Consider the following 12,482-nt stretch of genomic DNA (forward strand, 5'->3'; position numbering starts at 1 on the left):
ATGTATGATGCACAAACCCCACATTTGTTTGTGCATCATAGTTTAGCCCTAATCAAGAATCTGGCTTTCGTGCCTGCAAAATCTGTTGCAATTTTTCTATAGAAAAAAAAAAAGTCCCTTCACTTTGACTATGGTAGTTCTGTCAGAAAATCAATGTTTTAACTGCATTACTTTTTCTCCCTATATATACCTTCTGGCACTTTAATTTGCTCAGAAAAAAAAAATCCTCTCTTGTCTACATTGCTGTCACCACTTTGTCAGAAAGTATTTAAGTTTGCAGACAGCCTTTTAATTAGTGCTCACAATTTCATTTATGTTTGCTTTCTCTTTTTTTCATTCATATTCTGTTAATTAAGTGAGCTGCCTCTAATCTTCCCCTGCCAGTAGCATCATGTAGCCACCTAATTAAATTAATTGGGGAAGATGTTTTAAGTATGTAATTAAATCAATTAATATAATTTATGCCTGGCTTAACTGTACAGTGGAAAAACAGCTGAAGTTTGACTAGATGAATCCACTACAGCTTCCTGTCACTGATCAATGCTCTTCTTGATTTTTAGCATCTGGCAGCCAACTGGAATCGCATCAGGACCTCCAGGAGGACTATTATCCATATCCCATCATTAGGTATAACACTTTTGCCTGCAAATCTATCAGCAACCTCTATTACCCACCACATTATGGCTCCTTGATTGAGTTCAAGGAAGGCCCCTTGTTTTATTCAAATTGGTCTCGGCAGGAAAATGTTCTCGACATGATGAGAGTAATAACACAGGACCCTCGCTTGAAACGGCGTTTAATTTGGGGATTAAGCAAATAAAGTCATTATGTGGGGGCTGCTATTCAGTGGAGAGGTGATTTGCTGTAATTCGCTTTCATCTGTATGAAATGAACTAAAAAGTTGTATTTTTCCCCGAAATAACAGATAATGTTTTCGATCTTCTTTAATGATAGAAGAACACAGGCTTGTATGTGTTGTTGCTGTTACGCCAATAAGCCAGGATATTGCTTGTACACTGTTTTTAATCAAATGTGCAGTCAAAATGATAAGCTACATTCTCTGAAATTATTTAGTTCTAATTACGAGCAGATGGGATGCTTTATTTGCACCTAGGGCGCCTGAGCAAAAGGAAATGCTGTGTGAACAAGAATAATTAAGAAGTTGAATAGTGTTTTTTGCACTTAAATAATCTGCAGTTTCATGTTAATTAGCACTAATGTAATTATTTAATTACATTTATGAATTGGGGAACTTAAAAGCTGTTGTCTGAAACACACTGGTAAAAAAGGTATGCCAAAATGACATTGGGAATTTCAGAAATTTGCATTGGAGTTTCTTTTAAGACATGAGCTACTGTCAACATGTTTGGGATTTGTTTGCTTCCTTATTTTGTTTTGTTTTGTTTTGCATCTCACTAGTGTGTTAAATTTCCTTGGTGAGGTCAGATTTCCTAAGCTGACTTGGTAGAGTTTTGACAAGCAGCACAACCCATTGAATCTCTTTGTTACATACATATTAGCTCTTTGTTAAAGTCTTTTAAGTAGAGCAATGCATTAAGTGATCTGTTGTAACAGAATGCTGGATTGCAGTTTATTCATATTCATATGTGAGCATAACCAGTTTGTGTACTTACATGTAGTGTAGAAACATAACACATTTAAACAGTAATATGAAAAGAAAAAACATTTAAATCATTATACAATATAATTATTTTTAAATTAGTAAAATATCAATAATAAAATAAGGCAATCTTTTCTAGACTCTGGAGTACTTAGATCTAAGTACTTACAGAAGGTTAAGAAAATACTTGCATTGCACAGAGCCTTTTAGTTTTGGTCTACCTCATGGCTCATGAAAGAAATTTGTTTCTTCTTAGGATCTAAGTGAGGTATAGGATCTGAATTTCATTCTAAGTTAGGCTTTTGTTTTGATGAGACTACTTTTACACACAAAATTAGTTCACACACAGAAATTGCACTTGTAGTTGATTGCAACCAAAGAGGCTAATTGCAGACCTCATTAGTTGACTTGAGTCCTTCGAATAAGGTGCAGGAGGCTTTGCTTCTGCAACTAATTGTGGACCAGACCTGATATTATATGGGAAATTTTGTTTTGCTTTCTCTATACAGGGCCCCCCACTTTGCAAAGTTGCTTAGCACAAAGGTGTGATAGACACAAACTTCTTTACTCCTATACTCCCACCTCTGACCCTCCTAAAAACTTCCATGCAGTCTGCTCTGCAGAGAAGCTTGATACAAAGGAGTTTCCAAAGAAGTAAAAATTTGAAAGTAATCGTTATGTAAACTAGGTAATAAAAAAATTTGAGTGAAAGTGTCTTAAAATTTCAAAAGGGCTTACTGAATAAAAATTATGTGGGAGTTCCCAGCACTTTGGGAGGATTGCTTGAGGCCAGGAGTTCAAGACTAGGCTGAACAACATAGTGAGACCCTGTTTTAGAAAGTTTCAAAAATTAGCGAGGCATGGTGGCGCAGGCCTGTAGTCCTTCTACTGGGAAGGCTAAGGAGGGAAGATCACTTGAGCCCAGGAGTTTGAGATTACAGTGAGCTATGATCATCCCACTGCATTCCAGCCTGGATGACAGAGACACTGTGTCTAAAAAAATTAATAAAATAAAATAAATTAAGTGGGAGAATAATCTGGTCAAAGAAGCTAGAAATAGAAAACGTTATTTTAAATATGATATTAAAACTAGTTTTCTTCTGGATTACACATATTCAGTTTAAATAAATACATAATAAATATGAAAGTCTTCCCTAATGTAGCAATTTTTGTTTGTTAACAACATGATACCCATTTTAAAGAAAAACTGCTAATTATGTAATTTCTAAGAGATAAGAACAAGCTCAGATTTCTTCTCAATTGAGCATTTTAAAAGATTAATTGCACACTTTCAAAAGAGAATAATACCTGGGCTTTGATCATATAGTATTTGTTTCTACAATCTTTGTTTTGGATTTTTTTTTTTTTTTTTTTTTTGAGACAGAGTCTCACTCTGTCACCCAGGCTGGAGTGCAGTGGTGCGATCTCGGCTCAGTGCATTCTCCGCCTCCCGGGTTCAAGCAATTCTCCTGCCTCAGCCTCCTAAGTAGCTGGGATTATAGGCATGTACCACCATGCCTGGCTAATTTTTGTATTTTCAGTAGAGACGGGGTTTCACCATGTTGGCCAGGCTGGTCTGGAACCCCTGACCTCAAGTGATCCACCAGCCTCGGCCTCCCAAAGTGCTGGGATTATAGGTGTGAGCCACCGCATCCGGCCGTGCTTTGGATTTTATACAAATGACTTGTGAACATTAAATTAAGTAACAACAAGCTGTCATCTCCTACCTATTCCACAGATAGAATTCTCAAACGATGTATATATTTTTAAGGATATAGGGTACCCTTTTTTTGTGTACCACATCCCTGGGAGTCCTTAAAGAAGATTTCAGCTAGATGCCACAAACTTCTTTGTCTCATGCACCAGGGACTTACCTATACAATTCATAAAAATAGAAGTGGATGAAAGTGAAGCAAATTTTTTCTCTAAATGTACTGGAAGAAAACTAATCTATTCAATCTAGTAATTTCATTTCCAAAGTTGAGACAGATTCACTAGTCAAAATCAGTTGGTAGGATTGTCTGGTTCAGGTAGGCATTTAACACAAGTTGCAGCCTTGTCCTCTTTTTCTCTTGCCATAGGAAATTTGCTGTAGAATTAGCTCTACAAATAATTACACCATGCTGCTAGCCAATTGGGGCTGCACTAACTTGTTTGAACCCTTCAAATGAAAGCTAAGTAGTTGATAACTGCATAATATATTGTAGTTGTAAGCATTTGGTTATTTATGCAGTTTTGCACACATGGGAATAATTGCATTTTCCAAACTGGTGATCACAGAAAGGATGGCCTTTCAGTAATGTTTTTGACCACAAAATATTTATAAAGTATTTTAAAATCTGTGGCTTGGTAATATGAACAGTAAGACAATTAAACATTGTGGAGTAACCTCTTTGAAAGGAGGACTTAGGCCAGGTGTGATGGCTCACGCCTGTAATCCCAATCCTTCAAGAGGCCAAGGTGGGCAGATCACGAGGTCAAGAGATCGAGACCATCCTGGCCAACATGGTGAAACCCCGTCTCTACTAAAAATACAAAAATTAGCTGGGTGTGGTGGCACGCACCTGTAGTCCCAGCTACTCAGGAGGCTGAAGCAGGAGAATCGCTTGAACCTGGGAGGCGGAGGTTGCAGTGAGCCGAGATCACGCCACTGCACTCTAGCCTGGGGACACAGCGAGACTCCATCTCAAAAAAAAAAAAAAAAGAAAAAAAGAAAAAAAGAAAGGAGGACTTATGAAACTTGATTGATTGTTATATATTTCAGATAGTATTCCTAGATATAACAAAAATTTTAGCTATTTTTAACCCACAAGAGAAGTGGAATGCTGCTGTCAAAAAAACCTGATTTGCCTTGTAATTTTATAAGATGATAAAGAAACATTTTTCAGAGTTTATAGGCTGATCTCTTAATTGGATATTACATATTTTATCATTTTTATTAATATAATTATAACAAAATAATCTACAGTGGTTCATAACAGGAATAAAATATTAGGGTCTATTTTAAGCAAAATCTATCAATCAAATGAGAAAGAACCTGAAGAATCCTAATTCCTCTAGAAAAACCAGATGTCTAAATAAAACCTACAGACTAATTTTGCTCCCAGTTTCTTTGGCCAAGTATTTCCTCCACTTTTAATTTAACCCCTGTGCTTCTTTACTGCAGCACATCACTTGGTGCTACGTATAAACTCAGTTGCTTTTTAAAATATATTGACATTAAATGAGACGTGCCAAATATGGGGCTCTGCTGCTGTGAGCAGTATATGAAGCCACTGCCAGCCAATTAAACCCCCAGGGATGAGTTTTCACTCTCACTTCTCCTCCTCCTTTAAAGTAAAAATAGAGGTGGGATTTTTTTTTCTTTTCTCCATGTAATCTTTTATTTCACTGCCAATTGACTTGATGACTAAAAAGAATGTATATAGTTCAGTTCCATATTTTCCCTCTGTGCCCTATTTTAGCAAGTTATTCTTGGGGTTAAAACAAGTAGTGGTCTTCAAATTCTTCTTTCCATAAAAATTATGGATCCTGTTATTATGAAGTTCATGAAATACAGCATTTTCCAGCTCATGTGTACTTTCACAGAAGCCTACGAGAAAGGATAGGGAAACTTACTTTTGTGTGCAACCGATCATATGCTGAACTGAGAAAGTCCCAAATGCTTATGAGACTCTTGCTTCCTAACTCTGTGCTCTTCTGCCAAGAGATAAAAGCTTGAACTCACCTACATTTGTGAACAGGGGCAGAGTGGAGGATGGCAGCCAACGGCGTTAGATCTGCAATCACTTTTTACTATGCCTCCACGCACACTGGCACCTTTCTGCTTTCTCTACTATGAGCTGGAGTCACCTGATACCCAGTTCAATGCTGCTTTTTACTTTTGAGTTGACAGCTCAAAGACAAGATGGATGTTGTTCCTTCCACCTCAGGCTAGGAAATCTGGACTTTCAATAAAATCTTTGCAGTCTTCAACATATATTTTGGCAAGTAGTATAGAATCCATAGTTTAGCTATGGTGTTGCCATACTAGATCCTTGGGATAGGTGTACTGCCAAGACTTCCCAGACAGCATTTCCCAGAAATATCCAGATCTTTCAGGATCAGGAACAAAGTACACTTAAACTTTAAAAATGCTTTATAGCCCAAACACACACATATTTGTATTCACCCATGTAATCGAAATCAACACTCATTTATACTGGTTAGATCAGAGTTGGTCCCGTGATCTTATAATATGAAATTATCCAATTGGTCTTGAGCTATATGATGTTGTACCATGAAATACAGAAACAGCATTGAACTGGGTGTCAGGTGACTCCAGCTCATAGGCTTTTCATGAGATCTATTAATATTAGGATATGCTGTAGAAGGAATTTTTCACTATAAAAGATAACATCCTTTACACTCATAAAAAATATTAAAAGGCTCGTTCAGTGGTTCTCAGGACCCCTTTACACTCATCATGATTATTGAAGACCGTAAAGAACATTGGTTTAAGTGGATTATATCTGTCATTATTAACTGTATTTGAAATTAAAACAGTAATTTTTAAAATGTTTATTAACTTCTTTTAAAATAACAATAATAAGCCCACTACCAACACTAATCTAAATAACATATTTTTGAAACATAATTGTTTTCTAAAACAAAAAAAAATTTAGTGAGAAGGGTAGGATTGTCTGACAGGTCTGAAAAATTAATGGAACATGGTTGGATTCTCATATCTGCTTCTGTATTCAATCTGTTGCAATATGTTGTTTTGGTTGACACACATGAAGAAAATCTAGCCCTACACAGATAAGTATTTGGAAAATGAAAGAATAATTTGTATGTTTTATAGCCTTTTCAGATAGTTGTGTATATTCTTCTTTGACTTTATACTAAACTCCACAATGGTAATTCTAAGTGTTAGTTGCAATGTGGAATCTACAATCATATTAATAAACTTTTTGTCTTTTGTAACTTGTAAGAGAACAAGATTGAAAAAGGCAAAGAACATCTTAGTATAATTTTGAAAATAGTTTTTACCTTGCAGACTCCCTGAAAGGTTCTCAGTATCCCCTTGGGTTCCCAGATCACAATTTGAGAATCATTGGTAATATGGTTTGGTTCTGTGTCCCCACCCAAATCTTATTTTGAATTGTAATCCCCACATGTTGGAGGAGGGGCCTGGTGGGAGACGATTGGATTACAGGGGCAGGTTTCCCCCTTGCTTTTCTTGTGGTAGGGAGTGAGTTCTCACAAGAGCCGACAGTTTTAAAGTGTGGCACTTCCCCCCTCATTCACTGTCTCTCTCCTGCCACCATGTGAAGAAGGTCTTTGTTTCCCCTTCACCTTCCGCCATGATTGTAAGTCTTCTGAAGCCTCCCCAGTCATGTGGAACTGTGAGTCAAATAAACCTTTTTTCTTCATAAATTACTCAGTTCTTTCTTTTTTTTTGAGATGGAATTTCACTCTTGTTGCCCAGGCTGGAGTGCAATGGTGCAATCTCAGCTCACCGCAACCTCCGCCTCCTGGGTTCAAGCAATTCTCCTGCCTCAGCCTCCCAAGTAGCTGAAATTACAGGCATGTGCCACCACGCCCAGCTAATTTTGTATTTTTAGTAGAGATGGGGTTTCTCCATGTTGGTCAGGCTGGTCTCGAACTCCCAACCTCAGTTAATCTGCCCACCTCGGCCTCCCAAAGTGTTGGGATTACAGGTGTGAGCCACTGTGCCCAGCCAGGTAGTTCTTTATAGCAGTGTGAAAATGTACTAATACAACTGGCTTTAGTTGCATGCAATGCTGTGCTAACCACTGAGAAAAGTTTAAACAAGAGAACTTCCTTAATTTTTTGAAGGTGAATCCATTTGGCCCATTTGGTTTGAGGATGTTTTCAAAACTCAACAAATGTATTTCCATGTTTTCTACATCTTTATACCAAAATTCCCTAATCCCCTTCAATAGCCCCCCAAAAAACCAACTATTAGTTTTATTTTAATCTAACTGGCAATTGATATACTATATAAATAACCCAGATAGAGCTGTTTCTTGCCATCTTTTGGGAACCCACCTTCTTGCTTTCTAGTATCTTGTGCTTTCACACTTGCATAAGTAATTAAAGCCTGGTTACAACCACAGTGTCTAGATCATAGTTCTCTATTATTATAAGATGCTGATATGCAATCATTTGTGAGTATATCATGTGTCTTCTTATTTTTCTACCATTAGAATACCAAAGTTTTCTTATGAATTGGAGCAATTCCAGATTATCTCTGTATCAATGTCACTCTTCTTCACCTTTCTTCCAGTGTGCTCTCTTGATTAGGAGAGAAAGGGATGGAGTAAGCTTGAGTATGCTGCTGGGAGGATGTGATGCATTGAACATCACTGATCATGAGTTTCAAAATGAGGAAAAGGTTGAGAACTATTCCTCCAGATCACCAAACTGAGGCATGAATGACTACCATCCCAGGCTAGAGCGATGAGATAAACAACTACTACTTGGTAATCAGGAGTCTGTTGTTAACCTCTTCTCTGCCTTGAATACCATTATAAGAAATAGGACTTGGGAGACAAAAGAAACTAGGAGTCACCCACTGGGTAAGAAGCTGAGTTTTCAAGAACGTGTGATCTGCTGCAACAACAGGGGCCTGTCACAGAGACATGCACCAGTGCCAAGGGGGCTCAGTCACTCAGTGTGGCCTTGCTCATGTTCTTGGGTTTCTGTGGTTACTGTGAAAGAAAAGCCAATCCTAGCAGAGCTAGTTTGCTGGATGCAAAGAGGCAATTAGTGTCATCTGATAGATGTTTATGCAGAAAGGGACTGGGAAAGGCTGTGAAGGTAGAAGTGAAGATGGAGAAATGATTGCCAGTAACCCTTGATGAGCAACCTTGGTTCAGTGGGGGACCAGAAGTAGTAGATGAGTAACTTCAGAGAGGCAGCTCTCAGGTAAGCTTCTTTGATGTAGAGACAATAATATTTCACAACTGCTTATTTGAGAAAAGACGGAACTCTCTATCAAACTAGGAATATTTTGCGGGAAATGAGAATGGCCATAAGAAAAGAGGCTGTGATCCTTTCTATAGTGATGAGGAAGAGAGAGTGCCTCTTTCTGCTAGTGTTGTATTGTTCTGTGCTAATGAGGACCTGGAAAAAGCTACAAATCCCACTTACCATTCTTTGAATTCTCCAGAAGTTCTCCAGCTTAGAGACCCAATTTTAGAAGAGTTGAAAGAAGGGGGAGTGATCAGAACACACAGGAGAAAGGGCTAAGAATTTAAAAGACAGGCCGGACATGGTGGCTCATGCCTATAATACCAGCACTTTGGGAGGCTGAGGTGGGTGGATCACTTTAGCCCAGGAATTTGAGATCAGCCTGGGCAACATGGCGAAACCCTGGCTCTACAAAAATTACAAAAATTAGCCAGGTGTGGTAGTGTGCACCAGTAGTCTCACCTAATTGAGAGGCTGAGGTGGGAGGATCACTTGAGCCCAGGAGGTTGAGGCTGCAGTGAGTCGAGATTGCACCACTGCATTGCCAGCCTGGGCAACAGAGTGATACCCTGTCAAAAAAAAAAAAAGAATTAAAAGATTTTTTGAGTACGGGCTTCACACGTGTTTCATTCGTTTATTTGACTGGAGATTTCACAAGTGCCTGCTCTAACATAGCTAAGAGTCTGGTTACAGGAGCTAGAGTGATGCAGGGGAAAGAAGAAATGGACAACAAAGTAAACAACCAAGCAAAGAAATATGTAACGACAAAATGAGAAAAGGGTGGTGAAGAACAGGTGCAAGAGAATGACAGTGAAGGGAGACTAAGAACTTTAGAAAAGGGTGGTCAGGCATACCCCATGATGATGAGGACCTTATTGCCTCAAGAGAGACCTAGCAACTCTTCTCTTCTGCTTCCCTCTCCCACTTCTAAGGACTCTGACAATTACACCTGGCCCAGCCAGATAATCCAGGATAATCTCTTGATTTTAAGGTCAGTTGATAGCAACCTTAATTCCATTAGCAACTTTATTTCTCCTTTGTCATGTAACCCAATATATTCACTGGTTGTGGGTATTGGAACTTGGACGTTTTTGAAGGGCCATTATTCTGCCTACTACAACAACTGAAAATAAAAGTGAGAAAAGAGGCCAAAGCTCTTTGTCCCTTCTGGACTTCTTCTCTGCTCACACTTGGAGAGTCTTTTATTTTATATAACTAAATTTCTCACAAGAGCTAATATGTAGTATCTAAACCGTATAATAATTGGTAGGTTTATGTGACCTTGGACAAGAGACAAGACACTTACCTTGAGTTTCCTTACCTATAATATGACAGGATTGAGGTTGATAGTCTCTCAGAACTCCCCCAGTGTTCCTAATTGATACCCTTGAAGAAATCATATCATTGTAGATTATATCCCAAAGTGCAATGTCTCATCGCCACTGGGCCTGTCTACTGAACTCCCACAAACCATGACATCCTTGTTGATAGTTTCGTGGTTAAGTCACTGTTATATTTAGCATGTACTACCAGCATAGATGAAATCTTTTCACCTGTCAACACATATACTTTATGGATGTATAAAACAAAACAAGTCTGACTTAAAAAAATATATTGACTCCCAACTTCTGCTCTGCTGATGTCATTGTACATTGCGTTGTATCTTGTCCATGTAGAATGGTCTGTTGCTTGTCACAGAGTTTGTTGTTGTTGTTGTTGTTATATGTTTTGGAAACATCCATACCTTGTAACATTAAAATACCTTGTGTTTATAAAGCACTTTGCAGCTTACAAGGTGTTTTCATGTCTGTAACTGCATGTGATTTTCTACAACAATGTTCCAAGATTAGCATACACTTCTTTAAAATGGGTGTATTCTATGTAGACATTTTATATGCATTCTTGATCAGTGGTAACAGAGGTCCCAAGTAATTTGTTGGAAAACTGACTTCAAACACTGGAATGGAACACAGACTTATTCACTCACATGCTGCGTATGTGGCAACAAAGTGATCAGACATCTTTTATATTTTAAATTGGACATCATCTTAATGAGACATATTATACTGCTTTTATCTTTACTTTTGAAAGGCAATGCAGTCATGGAATGCTCTCAGGCACTTTTCTTAATCACACTTTATTCTTTAGGCATTTTCCTGCCTTTTTATACTCTTGCTATATGTTATCCACAATACATCTTTCTAAACATTTATTTGAATATAGATAAAATTATACATATGCAAAATCCCAAGTTACAATATTGCAGTCACACATAAAGACATTGGAGTTGTAACTGCCTATATTAGCTTTTATATGTGGAATGGTTCTCTAAATTATTTGAAAGATTAGTAATTTTTCAAAAATGATTCGAACAGCTCATTTGTCCTTCTGCCTCTCTCTTTAATTCTTAAGTCCAGATGCAAAGCAAAGAGAGACTTTTAGATGATTGTAAAGTCATTTAATTTCCAGACATTGTCTAGTGTTTAAACACTGACATCAAAGCAAAGAGCCAATTATCAGAGTTCATTTGGTCTGAAGCCCCATTGCCTGAATTGCTATAGTTTTCCTTAGGCTGAAAAGGAAATGTGTGTCACATCTTGAAGATGTAGTATATAAAATCACTTTATCTAGAGCAGTTTAACTTGAAATGTGTGTTTGGGCTCACTAACCACAAGGAGGCATTGAAGCATCTCTTCAAAATGTGAAAAGCAATTTTAATGAAGAAAAAAAAAGTTACACCTACAGTTGTTGAATTTCATATAAGCAGTTATACCTGCTTGTGAGTATGCATGCTTTTTAAGTTTATGTTTTGATTCACTTTTTTTAATGACCTGAAATATCAGCAGAAAGTATTTCCGCTGTTGTTTCTTTTGTGAGAGATTTTTGGACAATAGTAATTCATATGTGTTTTCCCTTCTGCTACGTTTCCAGTGGAAATGAAGGCAAACTGCAGGACTTTTATTAGTACTGACAAAGTAACTGCATTAGCTCTTCTTGCCCTTTGAAAGTTAAAAGTTCTTGTGACCGTGAGCAGAAGCTGATTTCTTTAGTATTTGAATTATTTAAATACATATTCCTGACAGCAAGGGATTTATCTGAAATCTATGTGTCACTTTAGAATGATTCTGGAACACATCTTCAAAATACCACATAAGAAGCTCACATTAAGAAGCCAAAACGATATTTTTTTTAACCTGAGCATAATTTTCTTACACATCCTTGTAAACATTCATATTGCATGTCAGAAATTTTCTCCATGTTTTGTCATCTTGATTCTTAGCAGCCTTGTTGGTACTGAAAAATGTGAACCCCTCTGTTACAGAGTATGTTGCTTAGCACATCTTCCAGAATAATGTTTAATTCCCCCGAGAAACAAGCACCTCATTCTTCGGGATTGGGTTGTTTCTGTAAGATGCTTCAGAGAAAATTTTTTCCTGGAAATATGGACTGTGACATTTTGAAATTCTCTTGTGCCATTTTGCTATATCGACTTGCTCTTTCTGTGTTTTGACACCTTGTTTGCCTTTTAGGGTATTCCCAGCCTGTGAGAGAACATATTGCCGATTTCAACACACAGCAGAACATGCAGCTGGGGAGGCTGTGTGACATCTTAGGTACAGTAAATAGTTTTACACAAATGACTCTTTGGAATGTTTATCAGTGGATGTTGATAGAATGTGTTGTTTTGTTTGTTTGTTTTTTGCTTATTTTTTTCCTCTACAAGGAAAAAGCTCAGATGTTTAATCTACTTACAGGGCAATTAAATGTTTTATTTTAAAAAACATATTTGTAGTAAAATCAACTTGAATAAAAAATGACATTTTAACCAATTTACTTGGGCAGTTTTCTAGATTATCTTTGCTGCAGGTTTGGATCAGAATTT

General features: G+C 37.5%; 1 protein-coding gene across 11 annotated transcripts in view, besides 1 other annotated feature; it reads left to right on the top strand.

The window, feature by feature from the left end:
* Nucleotides 1-12,482, top strand: part of IQCH (IQ motif containing H) — a 247,019-nt gene that overhangs the window by 118,021 nt on the left and 116,516 nt on the right. For 10 of the 11 annotated variants that reach the window (NR_147832.2, NM_001031715.3, NM_001322475.2 and 7 more), the window contains 2 exons: nt 561-627; nt 12,130-12,213. Coding sequence is in view for 10 of the 11 variants with exons in the window: in NM_001031715.3 (NP_001026885.2) it covers nt 561-627; nt 12,130-12,213 (151 nt within the window). In the remaining variant the exon portion in view is untranslated. Of the gene's footprint in view, nt 1-560; nt 1,389-12,129; nt 12,214-12,482 lie in introns of those variants that run through there. The other variant, NM_001284349.2, reaches the window with a different exon arrangement.
* Nucleotides 20-541: an enhancer, noted in NCBI's record as "VISTA enhancer hs358". NCBI's record gives its function as "enhancer in: branchial arch[3/11]" and the evidence as "EXISTENCE:transgenic organism evidence [ECO:0001131][PMID:17130149]".

This window comes from Homo sapiens, chromosome 15, assembly GCF_000001405.40.
Source record: "Homo sapiens chromosome 15, GRCh38.p14 Primary Assembly".
Taxonomy (NCBI): domain Eukaryota; kingdom Metazoa; phylum Chordata; class Mammalia; order Primates; family Hominidae; genus Homo; species Homo sapiens.